General features: G+C 50.9%; 1 protein-coding gene across 1 annotated transcript, besides 1 other annotated feature; it reads right to left on the reverse strand.

The window, feature by feature from the left end:
• On the reverse strand, positions 546 to 21137 carry AMER1 (APC membrane recruitment protein 1). The gene is made up of 2 exons (NM_152424.4): positions 20999 to 21137; positions 546 to 8813 (listed from the first exon to the last, which is right to left on the reverse strand). Exon 2 carries the CDS (start codon positions 8713 to 8715, stop codon positions 5308 to 5310), a length of 3408 nt encoding a protein of 1135 aa, NP_689637.3. The 5' UTR covers positions 8716 to 8813; positions 20999 to 21137; the 3' UTR covers positions 546 to 5307.
• Positions 20244 to 20303: a silencer, noted in NCBI's record as "silent region_20877". NCBI's record gives its function as "represses an Ori minimal core promoter by ATAC-STARR-seq in GM12878 lymphoblastoid cells {active_cell/tissue: GM12878}" and the evidence as "EXISTENCE:reporter gene assay evidence [ECO:0000049][PMID:35858748]".

Genomic DNA, 21169 nt, shown 5'->3' on the forward strand with positions numbered 1-21169 from the left:
CTGCAATAAGTGGCAGAAGCCACATCTCCCCACCCAGCCCAACAGCTGAATAGGTGGGGCAGGCAGCTATCTGGCCAGCATCTCTGCCCATAGTCCCGGATAAAAGATGCCATTCCTGCAGCTTGGCCTGCCGGTCCCACCATTAGATATAACCTTTTGATTGAGCCATCAGCAGGAGGTACACACATTTGTCTCCTGGCTGGTAGGGAGGCCACATACTTGCAGAAATTGAGGCTAATTTTAGAAGTGCTAGCCAGCCCCTGGCAGTGCACAGGGACTTAAGGGGCAGGTCTTAAGGCATAGAAGGTGTGATAGAGAGTTTGCCAATATGGCATCTGACTGGGATATAAGGCATGGCTTGGATGAAAAACTGCAATTTCCTCTACTTTCAATTTCAGCCCTGGCTTCTGTTTCCCCTGCTGGTTCTCCCTACTCCACCTCCACCCACCACCTCCTTGGTTTCTCAATTTCTCTCCAAGGGCAATCCCAACAACCATGGGTTACAGGCACACTACTGTGGAACAAACCACAAGAATGCACATTAGTGACTGAGGGGTTCCCTCTTGAACCCAGAAGTTTATTAGCATTCAGCAAAGAAGTATATGTTGTTACAAACAGGCAGTGCATCAAGATATCCAGATGTCAGTGAGAGCTAGAAGTGGAGAGGTCAGAACCCGGGTGATTCTGTGATGTCTCAGGGATGGAGAAGAGGAAGCTCAGGTACAGCCAGGGGCCACACTCCCCTTTCTGCACTGGGAGAGAAATAACTCTTACACCTGGGGTGATGATGTACTGCAGTTCCTAATTTCTTCCCTCCTTCCTCCAGCCATTTTATTTAACATGACCTAAATATACATTCCTGTTTTATTCCCCCCCACCCCCACCCCCATATACAGCAGGAAAAATAAGCACCAATAATAATAACAATAATTAAAGTCCCACCTCTCAATAGACCCAACCCTCACACATATACATACCATGTGGATTTTCTTCTTTGGAGTGACTATAGGATTGGAAAGTCAGGGATCAGGCCAGCAAGCCATCACCCTGAAAGTCACTGTTCCCCAAAGTACCATCCACGTGTGAGCTGGAGCAGGGCAGGGGAGGGGGAATGGTGGTAGGGGAGGAGATTCCCCCAAAGCAGCAAGAGGGGTGAAGGAGTTCCCCAAAGCCTCTCTTCTGGGAAAATGTCACAATCAACTGAGCTCCTAGGAAGTCCTATGCAAGGGTTTCCTCAACGAGATGGTAAATTCCTGATAGTGCAAGCATCATTGTCATCTGTCTCCCACAGCTTCTTGGGGAAAGGGGACATGGTTGAAACCCCCTTCCTTCCCCATTGGGTGGAGAATGTTCCCAAAATGCTCCTTTGGAGAAACTCAACAAGACAAATAGCACAACATGGGCACTCTGATTTCAAAACTAAAGCACAAAACATAACGAGGAAAAAAAATAAGACACATGAGTACTCTCAGAGGGTCTAGACATGGGGAAGAAGGGTTCAAAAGAAAGAAAAACATAAAATAAAGCCAGAAAATGACAAGCTGTCTACCAGGTCCCACACGCCTGAGTCACTTGGCGTTTGTCTTCAGTACCTGGGCATCTTCTGCTGTCCCTATCATGGGGGGAGGGAACGGACAGTGTGGTACAGCTAAGGTAGGGAGAGGGGAAAGAGGGAGGGCCCTAGGCAGTTGAGATGCCAGCCCTCTGCACAAGCAGCAGCAATTTTTGTGTCATCTTTGTTTTGTTTAAAACTGTAAACAGCACCGCTTAAAAATAAATCAGAAAAGAACAATTGATAAACATTGTTTTCCATGAATATAAAATGCAAACAATATAAAAATAGATAATTGACTTTTGATATATATATATATATATATTAAAAACAACTTGAATGCAACATACACATGGGTAAACTTGAAGTCTCCCTGCTAAACCCCATGCCTCCCTCTAGCAACTGGGCCTGGGGGCTGAGGGCAGGTGGGGTGGTGGCACTGGCACAGGTAAGGAAAGCTGCTGGCAGCAGGATGAAGGGTACACACCCAGCCTCCTGAGTGTGTGAAGCTACTTCCCTTCTTGGCATAGGACTAAGGAGGGAGAGAGACTGGTGTTTACTGAACCCATTATCCGGGCAGTCTTGTGGCCTGGTACCCAAGCTGAGGCCAGATAGGTAGGGCTGGCTTGAACTGGGCCCCAAGGCAGTGCTTCCTTGGAGACTCTAAAGCACCAAGAAACTGGCATCCTGGCCCTGGGAGAGGCCTACTAGGTGGCCTTCTCTATCCACATTCACTGGTCCTCCAAGGACCAGTCTCATCTGGGAATTCTCAGGATCACAGCTGTCTGGCACTAGGCCTATTGGGTAATAAGATGAAGGCAGCTACTTCCACTAAGTCCCATTTTCCCTTAAAATCACATCCAAAAGCATTATTCCAGGACCTTGCAATGGAGACATGTTGTTCATCTAGTAGTACTCTTGGAGGTGTGGACATGATATCAACAGTTTTAGTGGTCTGGGGTGTATTTGCTGCCACCCAAGCCAGCACTAGTCTGTGTTTGGAAACAGGCCTGAAGCTTGGCTGGCTCTCCCAATGTCACCCTGTGCTGTCAACACCATGGGTCCCCAGACAGGTCTTCCTTCCTCCCCTAGGCTGCCATTGGGTTTCAGCCACAAACTGCTTAGCTCTAGAAATTCAAAGGAACCTGCTTCTGCAGCCACATATCCTGGCTGCCCCACTTCAGGTGGTAAGGATCCTATTCCTGGGCTGGCTAGGGCAGTGAAGGGACTTGCAGGCAGCAAGGCTGTCCAAACCATGAACTCTCACTCAGCCCCAGGCCCTACTCTGTGGTGTGTGACCTTCCAAAGCCCAACAAAGTGTGTCAGGGCTATGCCAGTGCCCCTCAGAGACAATGCCTCATGCTGCCTTCCTGATCCTGAGGGCAGCTCTCAGCCCTTAGCCAAAGGTTGGCCACCTCCTTTTTCTCTTCCCAGATAGGCTGGTGGCCCTTCTCCAGCAGGGTCTGGAGGCTGGTGATGGCTCTACCGCCTGCTGTGGCTGGCACAGTCCACATGTAGACAGGAGCTCAAGCTGCCCTGAAAGAAGAGGCAAGAGGTGGGTTCTTCCCTGTTGTAAAGGCATTTGGTGAGTGTTTACTTCCTGCCAAATAGCCAGGCCAATTTCAGCCCCACCATCCCAGAGCAGCTTTGGTAAGAGGCCAGAAAGTTGGAATTTGGGCACTTCTCTCTTGGAATGCTGTGCTTGGGGTAAGGAGGGCCTTCCTCACCCTCTTTCATTCTCCAGCTCCACAACAGATACATTTCTTCACAATGTATCTGTAGCCAAAGTCAGCCTGAAGAGCTGGTCTGGGTCCCTTGAGTGGTGGTGTTAGTGCCATGCAAATTCATGTGGTGCTTCCAGGGGTGCAGCTTCTACCAGCCAGGTCTGCTATTTGTGAGTAAGGGCACTGGGCCAACCCCAATCTGAGAAATGGTGACAAAGACCAGCATGGACACATCCCCTGGCCAAGAAACAGTTTGCCCACAAAGTCACCTTGACTTAGGGGGCAAACAGCATCTGTTCCCAAGCTAAATTGCCATATCTCAGGAATGGCAAGAACCCTGTTGACTTCTTCTCTCAACAGGCATGGAGATGGTGGGATGTGAGGGCGAGGGTGCAATAATCATAATTTGAGTGAACACAGCCAAGCAAAAAATGTTCCATATGCCATTTCCAATAAAGACATGTAAAAGGAACCCTCTCCTACAGGTGATTAATGAGAGGTTGAGCTTGGCAAGATTAGCCTGTTCCAATGTCTTCCTGACAGCAAGCTCTTCCCCACCAGTATTTCCAACCTAGTTTAACATGAAAACTGCATGGATGCAGGAGAAGGGAGGGTGCCATTCATTCCATAAAGGGCTGCAACTGCCAAGAAGCCCTGTCATTTGATGATGCTAAGGACTCGGCTAATTGGAAGATAAAAGCTCTTTAAAGGGCCCAGAACAGCAGCTGAGATGCCTTTGGTATCCTGTCTTGGGAGTGCAAACCTGGGGCCTTATTACAGAGTCCAAATGATGGGATGGGCAAGGCTTAAGGAACATTTTGTGTTGGGAGGCTTGAGAAGGGAGTTTTCCCTTTTAAGAAACTGAGATACCTTAAGCTCTGCATGGTCTGAAATCCCCTTTCTTGCTGGCTGTGATAAATGGACCCTCATTTTCTATCTTTCCCCTACACTCCACAAAAACCCCAGCCCCTATAGTCAAGCCTAATTTAGGTTGCTTCTCTTCCCTTATCTCAATTAAAAGACCGTGTTCCTTGTGATGAGATTATGAAAATTTCCTTTAGAGGAAAAAAGAACAAAAATTCAAAAGCATCTGCAACTCAGGTAGTCACAAGCTTAAAAGAAGGAAAAAAAATCCTATCATTCCGGAGCTCAACACTCTATGGCAGTGTCCACAACAGAACCTTGTTTTGTCTTCTGTTTGCAAATGGATGAATTTTATCACTCCATCAAGGGGATTAGCATTTTTGTCTTTAACCCAAGCTATGGCAGGACAGTTAAAAGGCCCCCATCTGGTCATGATGCCAAAGTCCACAGCGATAGGCTGTGAGACACACGCTACTTGATCCTCTCTAAGGACAGCTAGCTGGGATGAATAGCTTATAGTCATCTGATATAATGATGGCAGCTATGCCAGGCCAAAAGGAATAGGGGTGGGGAGGATCTGTACCATAATTTCACATTGCTAATAGCAAATAAGCCCCACTTCCCCAAGCGGGAGGCAATGCAGACTTGGCTGCTAATCAGTGGTTCATCATTCATTGGGGGAAAGGGGCAGGGGGCACTAAAGGTTTAGCCTGTGTCAAGGATGCATGCTATATATGTGTGTGCATGTGTGTTTGTGTGTGTGTGTGTATGTATGTGTGTGTGTGTGTGTGTGTGTGTGTGTGTATATATATATATATATATATATATATATATATATATATATATAATCACTAACTTGGCAACTGGAATAGGCACAAAATTACAGCATCCCAAACCCAGCGTGGGTCACAAGAAGAAACCTCGAAAGCAAAAACTGGAGTGCAGTAGCAGCAGCAGCCTCCCTGGGCAGATGCACTTGAGTTGAACGTGGCCATAGATGGCAGAAGAGGCAAGTGGGAAAACCAAGGTGAAAACTCACAGGAGTTTTCCTTGGCCCAAAGGGTTTTCAAGTTAAACAACAACCCCCACCCCCCCACCCTTCTGCCCAACCCCTGATCCCCATTCACATGCTCAGGCCCCGTGTCCCTACTCCAGAATTGATAATAACTACTTGGCTAGGTTTCCATTCATGGCAGTGGAGGAGTAGCTGGTGGCAAGAGAGGCACCTTGCTCAGCCCTCTCCTTTGACAGGTCAAGGCTGGAAGGCCCATAGTGAGTGGGCTGAGGCTGGGGGTGCTCAGGCCGGACCCTGGGCAGCTGAGGAATGCCATGGGTGATGCCCACAGGCTTGGCCTGTGGTAGAGGGCTGGGGCTGAAGCCTCCAGAACTGGAAGAGCAACTGGGCTCATCAACAGGCAGCAGCACATCTCGAGGCCTGGCCCTCATGCTCTGGGAGGCCTGTGGCTGGAGGTTATAGCAAGGGCCCATGGGCAGGTGTAGGTGTGAGGGACGAGCTAGTTGAGGCCCAGATTCCCCAGGTGCCCTTGACTCTGGCACTGATAGTGATATTGACATGGTCATAGGAGGTATGCAACAGGTTGCCTGCCTATATGGAGACTGGCTGGAAGGCCTGTCCAACTGGTTGGGGCTTATCCAGGCAGGACCTGGCCCCACTGGAAGAGGACAGGGAGCCCAAGCAGGCCAATCATAGGCCCCTGGGGGTTCAGTATAGAGGGAAAGGGGACTGTCTCGGCTCCATTCTCCTTCTTCCTCCTCTTCGTCCTCCTCATCTGAATCTTCCTGCTGGGCCTGCAGCTCATCAGACTCGAGGTAGCCCTGGACCAAGTGGGAATTGGAGAGCTCCATCTCCAGGGTCTCTGCAGTGTCGAGAGAGCGGCTTCTCCTGTTGAGGGCCATAGCAGCAGGTGGAGGTCGAGGGTGCAGGCCAGGCAGTCCCAAGTATCGAGGGAGGCTGCTCACACCCCAGGGCAGGCCTTGGTAGAATCGACTATGGTAGTTGTTGAAGGCATGTTTGTGATAGTAGCCCAGCTCAAAGGCTTCCAAGGAGGCTGCAAGATCTTCATCATTGTGGAACTCAGGATTCTCTTCACACTTGCCTTCCCCATCCCGTTCCACATCAGCGATGTCAAAGGTCACCATGGGAGGCAGCTCAGGGAGGTTTTGAGTGAAAGATGAGTCAGAGTCAGAGCTGCAGGACATGCTGGAAAAGAGGTTCCCATTGCTGGTGAACTCTACCAGGGCCTGTGAGAAACTCACAGTGGCATTCCCTTCCTTCTCAACCTCCTCTTCCTCTGGATCTTCAGGGGGTGAATAAGTAGGGTAGGCCCTCCTGGGAGATCCTCCAAAATTTGCTTCTTGCATGTCTGGCTCAAACATGGCATCACTCTGGAAGAGCTGCATCAGGCAGGTACTTTGATCTTTCTTGGAGCAGGTTCCTTCATAACGCTTCTCCAGAGGACGGAAGTCCCTCCAGTCTGGCTCGCTGCTTGCAGTGGTGGGGAAAGCTGAGGTAATTCCCCGGTGGGAAATCTGAGAGGTCCCTGATACCCCTGCTGCCAGGCCCATCACTGATGGGCCTAAGGGCCTCATCTGATACTCTAAGACGGGCTTCTCCTGCCGGGCCTGGGTCTCTCGGACTTGAGTCTCTCTACAACGAACCTCTCGGGCCTGGGCTTCTCGGGTTCTGGCCTCCCTGCCATGAGCTTCCCAAGTGTGGGCCTCCCTGGCATAGGCTTCCCTGCCATAAGCCTCTCGAGTATAGGCCTCCCTGGCGTGGGCCTCCCTGGCATGAGCTTCTCGGGCACGTGCCTCCTGGGCCTCAAGCTGCTCCCGCCGAAGCTCCCAATACAACAACTGTTTCTGGATGGTCACTAGCCGTTCTTCCTCTGTCTCCATTGCCCCAGGTGGCCGGGAGGACAAAAAGGGCTCAAAGTTTAAGAAGGGGTCAAACATCTCAGAGCTTCGACCATGGAGGTCATAAAGGCAGTCATCTCCAGGTGGAGAGTTCTCAAGGCTGTCATCTGGCTCATAGAACTCATATAGGGCATCTCCACTGTAGCTGTCTCGGGGTAGACAATCCCTGCGGACAAGCCCCAGGGCCTCACCTGAATCATCCTCAAATCCAGGTGTGGTGGAGTCATAATAACCTTCATCACTATTGGGGGCGGATTCTTGCTGGTCACTCTGAGGAGTCAAAAGTTCCCCAGGGGCTAGGCCAGGATAAGACCTAACTGGGTCAAGGAGCATGTAGCCGTGGTGGCCTGGGGATGTGGTGGGATGGTAGCCCAGGTTCATATTGGGCCGTGGATACATTTGGGCAGTTTCCCACAGATATTCTAAGTCATCATCTTCTTCCTCCTCCTTAACCTCCTCTTCTTCCTCCTCTAATTCCACCTCTTCTTCCTCTTCTTCCTCCTCGTCATCATCATCTGGCAAGGCCATCTCCTCCCCACCTCCTTGGTAGGTCACCAGGCAGGAACTTCGCTTGGTCCCATCTCGGTTTGCTCTCTGGCCCCCAGAGGCCATGCTGTCTGTCATACTGTCCATGTCCTGTTCTGCTATTATGTCACCACAACCTGTCAATGAATCAAAGCTTTTCAGGGATGTCACATCCCCAAACAAGAGGCTCAGTGGGTCCCCCACAGGGCCATTGGGTGGGTTTACCTCTCCTGCTACTACCTTCTCCCCTGTTTCTGGGCTATGGGGCTCCTCTAGGCTACTGGCTTCAGGGGCAGGCTTGGGTTGCACATGTGCTGAGGCACAGGCCTCCATGGGTTTTTCTGGATCTTTACAGGCCATTTTCTCAGTAGCTGGTGGAGAAGGTTCTGGTGTTGGAGAAACTTTTGGCCCAGGGGCATCTTGGGGGTTAGCATTTTCCTTTCTAGGGGCTTGGAAGGTCTCCTCAAAGCAGGGCACCTGAGGGGCTGAGCTCACGTGCTCATGAGGCCTGGCTCTGACCCTCTCAGGCCCCTTGGCCCCTGGCTCACTTTGCTCAGCCCCAGTGACCTTGCTCTTCCGGTGACGGCGGATACTGCTAAAAAAGCCTTTTAGGCCTTTCTTTGGCTTGGGCATAGAGGGAAACTTCTCAGCCACAGCTTTCTCTGTGGCTCCAGCCACAGATGTCTTACATCTGGAGCCTGTCTCCAAAGCCCCATGGGCACTCTGAGAGCTGGGAAATTGGCAGGGTAACTCAGGCAAAGGCAGGGAGAAGCCAGTTCCTTCACTGACAACATCTTCAGGGCCATGGGCTGCTTCACTCAGGCCATCGTGGGTCTTGCTCTTGCTGAGACCTTTCTTGGAGCTGCCTTTCCCAGAACCTTTGCTCCGTCCCCCTCCAAAGAAACTAGGCAGAGTACAGATACCCTTCTTGCCACCAAAGAGTTTCATGGCAGTTTTCTTCAGCCTACCTGGGCCGGATGAGGATGGCTCTGAGGTTGGTCCTTCTGTCGCCTCAGCTGCCTTGTTCTTGGCTCCTTTTTCTGCTGTTTGTTCACGGGTACTCCCAGAGGCTGCAGCTCCCTTGGCCTGAGCAGCTTCATCCTTTTGGGTCTCCATGATGATGGGGACAACTGAGGTACGTCCAGCTGGAAATGCAGCCTCAGGCTTCCAGGCACTGTTATAACATTATCAGTCAGGAAGCATCACAGTGGGGTCTGGAGGAGATAGGAGAGACAAAGACAGAGAGACAGATACTAGTGAGCAAGCATCCAGGCTGGGTTTGCTTTCACCGGACGTCAGGCTTGAGTGGAACAAGAAAGAAAATGATGGAAAATGTGGGGCAAATCTTAATCCACTCGATATGCTTGGCTTGCTGGGCCAGCTCTCTCTGGGCCCCAAGGAAGCAAAACTCTACACTGAGCAACAAGAAGCCTTCATCCCCTACCTTCTTGCTGGGTCCACTCCCTTCAGACCATCCTAAGCTCAGGGGACCACTGGGCAGGGGGACCTGCAGTTGTGTGAAAGGCCTAGTGGTGCTATTGGCTGTGGGAGGTATTATCAATTATCAAAGGGGATGAGGATAGGGAGAGACAAGAAAGGCAAAAGGGATGTTGGCTCCAACATCACAGAATTTTTGAAAACCATCTGGCAAAACAGTCCATTGAGTCCTCACAGGGCTCTGTTGGATTCAAGCTTCAGTTTCATATTAGTCTGGGCTCTCACTGACATTTTGTCTGAGACTGAAAAGTGGACCTGAAGTTTCACCTCCCATCCAAAGCTTCCTAAATTGCCTGCAGAACCATGCTCAGGCTTCAGAATCTCAGAATAGGAGCCTCACACATCCACAAAGTAGGTCTGCAATCTAGAACCTGCTAAGACAATGAAATGGGAGCCTCAAGAAAGGTACTCTCTGGGCTTCAATATTCGCCATTCAAGAGGCCTATCAATATCTCTCCCTCAGAGAGGTGATATGAGGGTGGGTCTAAGCCAGACCCTCTATTGGCTGTCCTGCTGGGAAGATACTTTAATGCGGTCATCAATGGAACCCCAAATTCCACTTGAGAACCATGAGGTGGACTGTTTCTCCTCTACTCTCCTCCTCTTATTATTTTTGTCCCCATCTAGCTCCCTATCTAGGAAGGGAACTCCTTGAAGGCCCTACATGATTCATATTCCTGGTGTGTGAGATAGGTTCCCAATGGCTTTTTAAATAAATAAACCTGGTGCAAGCCACACCCTTCTGGTCAAGGCTCTCAATCCTCCAAATGCCCAAATACCAACAGAGATGGAATAAAAACAAGACCTAGCCACTACCCACCACAATATACCTCTGCACCTCTGGTCATCCGCTAGCTCAGTGACCAGCCTGCTAAAACCCAATGACCCCTCCCTGGGAAGTCCCTCACCAATTTGTCCCCTCTCTGTAGAGTGGCACCAGCAGATGGGGGAATCTGGGAGGAGAGGGGAGAGGGGAAGGGGAAGGGGAGGGAAGGAAGAGTAAGAGAGGGAGAGAGAAGCAAGCACCCTTGGTCCAAGAACAGCTGGACAGTACACCAGGCCTGTGATTGCTTGCCATAATAATAAGACTCACACATTCACCTAAAGTGGAAGACTGTGGACCAGCACTGAGCATGGAAAGAGGCTGGCAGCTACACTCTAGCCTTGGAGCCCCTGGTTCTGTCTTGCAAACATTAATTTTGTGCCTGCTGCCTTGCTTGGCTTGACACTTGAATCATCAGTGTGATGATCCAAGCTTCCATAAAGAACACTCTGCATAACTGAATATTAAAATTGGAGCAAGATAACAGCTGGTTATCCAGAAAAGAAAAGAGCAGGTGAAAAGGAAAGTTCATCTGAACCTCTCTCTGCAGAGATCTGAATTGCCATTTGCTCAGGTTAGAGATTTTTCTGTAACATATTTTGACATCACACTGTTCCAACTCAGCCCTGCAACTGATAGTCCCACAATAGACAGTGCCCCCTCCCACCTCCAAATACACACACAATCACACCTAAACACACAATCACCCAGTTTTCTGCCCCTGGGTCTGGTGGGAATAGGGGCCCTATCATGTCTGAATGCCCCACTTTCCACAGCACATTTTTACCTCAGCCTTAAAATTACTGCTAAGGTTATCGTCACGGTGTTGGGGATAGGGGAGTTGGGGAGGCAGTACTGGAGTTGTTTGTGAAATTCTATTCCCCTCTGGAATTCAGTGCTTCAGGGCAGGACAAGAAGGGAGAACTCCCAGCCTTTGCTTCTAAGGAGCTCCTAGGCTAACAGGGAGAGTCCTATATGTAACAGTCTGTTAGAAACTGGACCAAACAACAGGAAGTGACCGGCAGGCAGGAGGGCAAGGTGAACATTACCTGAGCTCTGCCTTCTGTCAGATCAGCAGAGGCATTAGATTCTCATAGGAGCGTGAACCCTATTGCAAACTGCGCATGCGAAGGATCTAGGGTGCACTCTCCTTATGAGAATCTAACAAATGCCTGATGATCTGAGATGGAACACTTTTATCCCAAAACCTTCCTCCTCTCCATCCATGGAAAAATTGTCTTCCATGAAACAGGTCCCTGGTTCCAAAAAGGTTGGGAACCGCTGCCTTAAAGAATAGCCCCTGTTATTTCTAAAGCTGGTTGGTGGAGTATCATTCTTTATACCTTGTAAACATATTCCAAGATAAATGTGAAAGGGAGAAAGACACTTCTTGGGCAGTAAGGCTGGGCCTCAAGGAAAACCTCACAGCCAAGTGAAAAACTCTAGGACCTACACATCCTTGTGAATCAAAGGCTGACTTGTCCTGCTGGGTTTGGGGCTGGAGTTCCTGGGAACAGAGTGATTTGGCAAATTGAATCACAAAGAAGGCTGCTTTCCAGAGCCTTGACGCCCCAGTTAGAAGACAGTCTCTTTGGGCTTTCCCTTGCCCTTGCTCCTATGCTCTGTGAGGGTAGAGGCCAGCCCACTCACCTCTCTCTGTATTGTCCCCTTTCCTGTCACAGGGAGCTGCAGTGTGTTGTGGAAGGAGCCATGGACCACAGGGCTGGGGTCCAGGCCATGTCAGCCTCCCATCTGCCAAGGGACCCTGAATGGGCCAGTGTAGCCTGCTGAGACGCAGGTACTTGTGAGCTATTTTGAGATCAAAACAGCTCCTCTACCTATCCTTCTACCTGCCCACTCCAACTACAGTGGTGTGATGAGTTGATGTGATAATAGGCACAAAAAAAGCACTTTATAAACTGTATAGTACAGTGCAAATGAGAAAGACTGTCATTACAGTTATTATTACTCCTTCCAGGTCAGATCCCAGTTTCTTAGGAAGCAACTGACCATGTGTTAAAGGCTGTTCATTTGGGAAAGCCATTCACTGTGGGAAGCTCAGGGACTTGCTGCCTTGGCCCATGCTGAGAGGGAGACAGATATGAGGGGATTTTAAAAAGGTGTGTATATCTATACAAACTCCTCTGCTAAGAGGTTTGAAAAGCCCTCTCTGTGTGTTGTGGGAGACAGATGAATTACGCAGGGTGTCCCTGGGATGGAGTTTCTCTCCGTCCAGTTCAGGCCCTTCTCCTAACCAAGTCCAGAGTCATCTTTGCTGGCAGATACCAGCCTTAAACTGGTACTCTGTGTTCTCTCTCCCAGAGCCATGTCCCCCCACAGTCATTCACAGTATCTCTGCCTATGTCACCCAGAACACTGGGAAGGAAGGTGGCAGGGTCACCCATAGCTGGTAGCTCCCTAGCGTAGCCCCACCTAGCTACCTCTGCCTTAGGCCTCTTCTCCATACTCTTTGCTATCCAACCAGGTGCCAAAGCTATCCTTCCTCAATGGGTTATGCTGCCTTTACTTAGGACCACAAGAGTTCACCAAGAGAGTGAGGTGGGGCAGAAAGCAAAGGAGACAGCAAAGGACAGACTCTGCAGATCCCCTAGGCTGGGACTGGCTTTCCCTGGGGGTCCTGTCAAGAAAGTGGCACTGCCAAATGCAGGGCCCCACAACCCTCATGTTCCTTAACCAGTGTGGCTGAGTTTCAGGTGGGCTGGGGGTTAAGAGAACCCTCCCAAGCCACTCTGTGGTCCCTTGCAGGGACTGCCTGCTGCAGCAGCTGCTATCATGGCAGAAAGCAGGCTGTGGTAGAAAGCGCTGGGGCCATTCCAGCTCCCTGAGCCAGATTCAAGCCATTCTGGGGCCAGTGGAAGGCTGGCTACAAAGGAAGAGCTTCTTCCTTCTCCTCTCCACTTAAAACATAGGCAGGAGGCCAGCCACATACCTGCCCTAGAGACCCTTCTCAAGGAGAAGGGACAGCTGCAATATGAGCCTTGCACATTCTGCTCCAAATCAGCTTCCCGGGGCCAGCATGGCCAACTTGAAGAGGGCTGAATTGGGGGAAGAAAAAGAAGCAAGTGGATTTATGCAGTAGCTCCAGAGACATGGCCTTGACCAGCCATAGTTCCTCAGGCCTGTTCCAAACAGTCTTCCTGAAAGCAAGCCCACTTCAGGCCCACCTGCCCTTCTGTATGTTGGGGAGGGTTGGTTAAAGAAAAAATGGTGAGGATGGCCCTCCAGAGAGCTGGCCATTTCAGCGCTGGAATCAACTCTGCCCAGCTAGGGGAAATCCAGCAAGTTTTTTCCCATGTTTATGCCTCAATTTCCTTAACTGTAAAATGAGGTCATTGAGAGTGCCTACCTCTTAAGGCTATTGTAAGAAGTAAAACCAATGCACATAATGTACCAAATCAAGTGCATTACATAGCAGAAGCTAAAAACATTATAGTAACCAACTTTTATTCATATTTTATTCAAACTGTGGTAGAACAATTTCTAGAAGTAAAATCATCTCAGTCAGGTTGAGTAGGGTGCTCCCTAGGGCTCTGTGGGTAAGTCACCAAACCTCCTTGGGGCTCAGTTTTCCCAAATGGCAAATGGTAAATGAAGATAACTGTGTGGTCATGTCATAGGAGGCTTTACTTGCTCATTTAGCCAACTTTTGATATTCAGGGACCTAAAAGAGTCAGCTACTGGCTAGCAGCCAAGGATTATCTGGGACTTTCAACTAGCCAGGTTCTCTAGCCCAGGTCAAACTCAGCTAAAAGTACCAACATCAAAGGAAATGCAAATCAACAGATATCCTTCACCCTCAGGGTATTTACCACTTTATAAAGCACTCCCTACTCCCATACCCCCCCATTTGCCCTCCTCAGCCACCCATTACTCAGGCCTGGTGGGGGATGGCAACTCCTTGTCACAGAGAAGGAAACTGTGCCTAGACTTGGGAAAAGACTTGTCCAAGGTCACATAGTGAAATGGTGACAGAGCCACACTAGCTCCCAGAACTGTTGAGTCTCAATTTCATGCCATTCTGCTGCACTGTGCAGGCCACCAATCAAAGGAGGAAGACTGAGCAAGAGAACTGCAAAGTTTACCCTCACACCAGCAAGAACTATAATCTCCCAATCCCATCCCACCTCTGTCCCAGCCCTGCTAAGCCTTCTTTGCCACATTTCCAGTCCTCACTGGTTGCCACTGTTTGGGTCCTACCAAACACATTCCAGGAAGCCTGCTGACATCAGAATCTAGGGGCCAACAACCCAGCCTGTGGCTGCTCTCCTCATCAGCAACCCTACCACCACTCCTCTCAAACTACAGGACATGTCACTCTACTCCCCTTTTCCTTAAGAGATAGGTTTGAGTGGCCCAAAAACGAGAAACCTGCCAACGTGGACAAAGATGCAGAATTTGAGCTATTTGAAGAAAATGACTTATCAGATGATCTGGAACTTGAATGATCCATTTTTAACACCCATAGCCAAGTACTGCCCTCAAAACTATTTGGTCAGAGCCTAAAGGAAGGGCTGCTTGGCTTGGTTGGCTGATGGAGTTGTAGATGCAGCTGGCAGAGCCCCTTCAGCTCCTCCCCTAATTTGCAGCCTTCCTGCTGAGGGGCACCTCCTGCCCAGAGGGCATCTCACCAACTCCAGATGCAGCAAGACCCCAAATTGGGACTTCTCTCTCCTGTCCCAATTCCCCCACCAGCCCCTCTCAACTGATTTGTTTACATACTGAGCTTTGTATAATTCATCCTGACGGGCTTTGGTCTGTTCATTCATCTCTCTCAAATTGACCCTCCTTCATCTTACAGTCACTACAACTAGCACACAGCAGGAGCTCAAACAATGCTGATTCAACTGAATTCTAATTCACCTGAAGTTTCTTGGTGCGGAACTGGAATGCCAGCCTCACCTTCTATAGGCTGTGTGGTTTGAGAAAGTGGCCTAACCTCTCTGACACTCAAATGCCTTATCTGTAAAATGAAGAAAATGCTATCTACCATGCAGGATTGTGGTAAGGATTAGAGATGATCAATGTAAAAGCAAACTGGTAACTACATACTAAGCAGATATTCAATAAAGGGCTCTTGTGATGAGGCCACTTGTAGGCACCTTTTCCTCTCCAGCTCCCCAATTGCCACCCCACATTCTCCGAAGATGACACAAGCCTCTTAGCTGAGCTCCCTCTAGTCCCTCCCTACCGCAGCACCCCCTGGCTCCCCTCTCCCATCTCATTCATCCTGTACGTTGTTGCCAGATTCATTTTCTTACAACTCCTGTTTCAGCACTTCACTCCTCCACTTACCAAATTATTCTGCATTGCCTACAGGATAAGGGCCAAAACCCTATGTCTGATGTTAAAGGCTTGCTCTCCCTGAATGCTCCTTACAAGTTTCTCAGCCTTGTTTCTCTGCCTCTTGGCCCCAGCCCCAAATACACAGGGGTTTGCCCAGTCTGGGAGATGTGGTCACCCAGATACCACCTCTCCCTAGAAATGGGCTTTCCTGGTGAGTCTTCTTAGTGCCCCAGGTTCCTCCTCAGGCTCTTGAGGTCCCCTCCCTGCCCAGCTTGCCTTGAATGACAGGGACTTTGGGAGCCACTTACTTGCCACTCCCATCTTAGGCTCCCAAACTTTCTTAGAGAGAAGTGTATCTGAAGTGGGTACCATGCCCGCCTGCATAGGCTTCCACTAAGTCAGTACTAGCCCAGCTAGAGCGAGATCAGACAGGTGCCAACCCTTCCCCACCCCCCGTTCAAATGAAGAATAGGAGAGGAGCTAACTCCAGAGAAACAGATGTGACAGAGCAGCCAAGGAAACCCTACAGAGGAGCAGCTGGGTCAAGTGAACAATGGATACCTCTGACTTTCCTATGTGTCCACTCCCCTCTACTAACCATGCCCTGTGTGAGAAACCAAGTGAGGAAACTGAAGCTTGGGAGGGGACAAGGAGAGTGTGATTCGAGGAAGAACTCTGGAATTGAATTGCGGACCAGGAGCTTTGGACTTCTGAGTTAACTTGAGCAAATCCTTTCCCTGTTCTGGACCTCAGTTTCTTCATATAGAAATGGGAGATTGGACCAGGGAGTCTGCTTGCTCCAAGTTGCCCTGAGAGGCTGGGGGAGGAGTGGTCTTGTGCCCAGTTTTCTAATGGCTGCTGAGTCAGAAGGCATAGCAGGGGGCACTGGATTGGCTTTGAGGGTCCTAGGTCTTACTGTTAGGCCTGGTTACCTAGCTGGTTCGACCTAGTTCACCACTTCAGGACAAAGGTGCACTGTGGCCCAGCCTCACTCCTTACACCACCCCTCAACATTTTGCTCTTTCAAAATGCACTGAGTCTGGCCTGTGAATATTTCCAACATATCCAGAAAGGAGGGGGGCCAGAACTGGTCATGCCATTCCTCATTCCCCTGAAAAGAGCCACAGCCCCCAGCAAGAAGGGCTGAGCAGATGGAGAGGGAGGGTTGAGGCATACTCACTAGGGATGGAGGGTTAGTATCCACTTGGAAGCCCAGCGGGGGTAAAAACTGTAGGAGATGAAAGCAATGAAACCTCTATGCTGAAAAAAAATGCACATCAAAGGGTCACAAAGGCCACTGCAGCACCAGTATGCCTGCCTATGACCACACCAAGCCCCTCAGGTCATTTTCTCCATTGTTCATATTTTCCCCTAATTCCAAAAGGGGAGGTGGAGGGAGCAACATACTCTTACTGGGCTAGCACCTGTACCTCTGTAGTGGTTCTGGTTCCCCTGCCTGCCTTTGCTAGAAATACACTTACACACGCACAGGTTTGAAAAATAAGACGAAGCAGAGGAGATGGAAGACTCTGAGATTATTTAATTCAGAGAACAGAAGTTGGGGGTGCAGAGAGAGTTTAATGCCTATGAAATCTCCAATAGATCGTTAAGCAGAAGAGCAATGGTGGCCAGCTGCTCGCAACTCCTTCCCCCAACACACACACACACACACACACACACACACACACACACACACAAGGTTTAACTATAGCATGACAGGCTCAGATTATCCCTGAGAAAGAACTGGGCAATGAGGCAGGTGACCCAGGAATGAGTGACACAGAAAGGCTATGAAATATTGCCTCAGGGGCTTAACCCTTTATCACCCACTGTATCTGCCCAGACAGGATTCAGGTAGGGAAATTGAAATAACATTGGACATTCTCTCTTCTAGCCTCAGATAGCCTATCTGTTAAGCAAGGGGGCTGGAAACCCCTTCTCCCTCTTGGTTCTACCTGCCAGGCTTGCTACTGTTTCCTAGTGGAGCAGAGTTGTTTCTTCCATACACACTATCTACGAGTGGAGATGTAACAGTTCTTCAGGAAATTTCGTGTTTCTTTGAGACAGGGTCTTGCTCTGCTGCCCAGCCTGGAGTGCAGTGGCATGATCATGGCTCACTGCAGCCTTGATGTCTCAGGCCCAAGAGAGGCTCCTGCCTCAGCCTTCCAAGTAGCTGGGACTACAGGTGCAAACCACCACACCTGGCTAAATTTTTGTATTTTTTGTAGAGATGAGGTTTTGCCATGTTGCCCGAGCTGGTCTCGAACTCCTGGGGTCAAGTGATCCACCCGGCTAGGCCTCCCAAAGTGCTGGAATTGCAGGTGTGAGCCACCAGGCCCAGCCCTTAAGGAATTTTTAATACCTCCACTATGCTAGGAGGGGATCATTAGACTGCCAAATTCTTCCAACTACCTCCTCTCCTTTTGAAATTTTCAGTCCCAGCAAAGCTATAGGCCAAGACCAAGAGGCAAAAGAGACATTAAACGAGTGAGAGGCTCCCCTTATGAAGTTCCCAAGTTAACTCAGCCCCCCTTTCCTCTTAGGGAATGAGGGAGGTAAGATGAGGGGGATGGTTAATGAAATCTACATTGATTGGAGGCTGCTGGTTCCATGGAACATAGTGGAAAGAGCCACTGCACGGGAAGCAGGAGCCTATCCTTAAATAGCTGTGTGACCTTAAGCGAGCCCCTGTTGCTTTCCAAGGCTAAGGATTCTCATCTGTAAGCATAGCAGTTCAAACTGGTGCTCCCCAAGGACTGCCCATCTGAGAGGAAGGTGTTCAGCAGAGGCCTGGGGAACACTTCTCAGCCCCACTTCCCACCTCTTCCTGCCCTTTCCCCTGCAATGCCAAAGGGAGGCTGACATAGTAAAACTTTCCTTTGGAGGTAGCCTGCCCGCAGCTCTACTTCCAGATCCAAAGGTGACCTCTTAACTGGCTGACTTTGCAGCATGCTTCTGATCCCTTTCTAAGACCCCATTCTAAAACTCATTCAAAAACCTTGTTTTTATTACTGCTTAGTTACATACAAAAATAGCAACTCCCTGTCAATTCCCTACTCTTTGATGCCGCCTTCCCCTAAAAGGATCAGATTTCCATTCCACAGCCTGGCATCCGGGAAACCCCATCACTGAGCCTCAATCTCTTCTCTACCTCTGAGCCACACCATCTCAACCAGAATAGACTCATTCACTCCCTTCACCCTGCCTGTCAATCACTTTCTCCCCTCCCATTCCTGGGTCTGCTTATGCTTTGCCTACTAAACCCCTCTACTTTCTGGCAGCTTCCATGGATGATCCCCCTGCTTATACAGATCTTTCATCTCTCTCCAAGTAGTTTGTCTCTTGGCTCATGAATCAGCAACCAAAGATATGCATGGTCTGGGATCTGAGCATTCCAAATCCTGGGCCTGTTGTTGGGGGAAGATATATCATGATTTTTTTCTTGTAGTTGCAATCATCCCCCTTCTAATCCATCCTCATTAGGCACACTCAATACATATCTGAGCCTTGAGTATCATTTCTCTAGCCACTTTCATATGAATCAGGACAAGCGCAAGTTGGAAAGGTAAAGGTCTTCTGGAAAACTCTACAAAGAAAGCAAGTCCTTCCGGAACAATCATTAACTGCTCTGCACTGCTTGGCTTTGAGAGGGTTGTGGCTGAGGTCCAGGTTTTATTTACTCCTCCAAAGGGTTCTGAGAGAACCCAGACATCCATGATATCAGACAAAACAGAGGCAGGCCAACTTAATTATAGTCTGCATCCTATTATAATTTAAGCCTGAATATGCCCAGGAGAAGTAGGCAGCCCTGGAGGAGTTCTGAGAAGAAAGAAGTCACCATGGGTGGGCAAGAGCCAGGCAGAAAGGCACCAAGGAAAAGGAAGGCCCAGAACTGAGGTTTGAGAAGGAAGAAGATTTGGACAGGTGTAGGCTGAGTGGGTTTGGGTGTGGGGAAGGGAGTTACATAGAGCAGATACATTAGGTGCCTGCTGGCCTGAGACAAGGCAGAGGGCAGGTCCAGCCCTGGGCTAGAGATGCCCAGCTGCAAGTAGAGGTTTGTGTTGGGGCCTAATCAAGGTGGGAGGAGGTGACTGTAGTGTGATATCTGTGGTCCTGGCTCCTGTCATAAAGGTCCAGAGCTAGCCTTCCCCCAAGTGAGGAATTTACTGGGTCTCGTTGCCCCTCCTCAAAGTGCCCAAGCTTTGCCTGGGCCCTGCAGCCCACAGGGCTCTCCACACCAGAGGTTAATCAAAGGTCCAAGAGCTTACCAAGCCCCCAGTGGCTTCCTCTGTCCTATTCCTCAAAAAGGCCTAGAGAGCCCACTGCCAGAGGTGCACCATGGTGCAGTGACTGTGCAGTGGGTGGTGCCGAATGAGGGGAGCCACACTGGGGGAGGGGGCTCTGCTGGAATCCCGGTGGGGCAGGCAGTCCAACAGTGCAGTGCCCTCTGCCTTGCCCATGCCCACGCCGCTGCAGCAGGCAGGCAGAGCCGCAGAGGAAGATGTTTGTGTGTGGAACAAGGCTCGCCTTGACCCCGCGGCCCTTGCCGAAAGCAGCCTGGCCAAACGGAGACCAGCTCTGCGGGGCCAGTCCAGCTGCCGCCTAGGCGCTTGGGCTGTGACGCATGTAGCGGGCACAGCCCCTCACCACCGGGGGAGCCAAGCAAAGTCCAGCGTTCGGGCGGTCACCAGTGTCAGAAGTGTCTCCAGCAGACAATGACAGGGGCCTGGCGGGCTGGGTATGTTAAGTAACTGCGAAGTTGGAGGGTTTGGCCACCTCGCTAGCTCTCCTGTACACAGAGATGGTATGATACGTTCCGTACTACAATGAGGGCTCCTTCGGCCTCTGGCAAGGAAATGCCCCCCAAACACCGTGCCTATTGCTATTTTTAAACGGGAGGCTGGAGAGGAAAACGCGGCCAGTATCCTCCAAGGGAAAAGGAGGTGAGGCGAGGCGAGGCGGGAGACAAAGCGGCCTTGCAGCTCTAACTCAAGGACTAGCTTGCGCCGCTGCTCTAACCCAAGGACCAGCAAGAGCCCGGCTGCCAGCCAGCCTGCCCGACCGCGGGGGCGGGCGCCAGATGCGCCCGGAGGCCCAGGAGGAGGGGCGCGGCTAGTTGGGGCCACAAGGCCAAGGTTCTGAAGGGAAGTGTGCGACTGAGCTCAGCCCACAGGCCCAACTGAGCTCCTCTGGGGAGGGGGCAGTCTGTGGATGTCCCAATCCACGCCAAAGCCGGTCTCCGTCGGGCCCAAGCCAGCACGCCAGCTTGAGTCCGCAGAAAGGAGGGAGAGGCTGGAGATGCACAGGGGAGGGGAGGGGCGGCAGCCAGGCAGCCGGAGAGAGGGGTGAGCGGTACCCGCGTTACACAGCTGTTCCAGCAAATGTGCTACAACAAAGCTGCAGAGCTCCTGGCCTACAAATGCATGGCTTGGGGTGCTGGCTGGCGGCGCCCTTCCCGGGACTGTGCGGCAGCACGTGCGGGCCCATCCCCGCCCCCCCGAAAGCCGGGAGGCTTGGCCCAGGCTAGCCTGCCTTCCTACCCGCCCTCCCCAACCCCCCTCCCCCCAGCCGTGGTCGCTTGTGCCCAGGGGACTCAAGGCCGCTCTGCCTCTCCACCCGACAGTCCGCAAAGCGGGTTCCAAAGGAGAGGGGCGAGCGACCGGGACTCCGACCCGCCTAGTCCTTAGTGCCCTCCTCCAGTCCGTAGGAGCAGAGCACGCGGGAATGCACCCGACCGCGGGCAGGCGGAGGCTCCTGGCTGTACGCAACGCTTACCCAGCCCGGTCAGGTTCCTAGCCCGGTTATTGTCCGCTGAGCCGCCCTGGGCCGGGCTGCAGCCTCGGCTGCCACGGCTGAGAGCGCCGCCACCGCAGCTGCTGCCGCCGTCGCCGCGGCTCCAGTCACCTCCAGCACTGACTCCCCTTCCCCAGGCTTTGGGTAGCTCCC

Source organism: Homo sapiens, chromosome X (genome assembly GCF_000001405.40).
Source record: "Homo sapiens chromosome X, GRCh38.p14 Primary Assembly".
NCBI classification, from domain to species: Eukaryota; Metazoa; Chordata; class Mammalia; order Primates; family Hominidae; genus Homo; species Homo sapiens.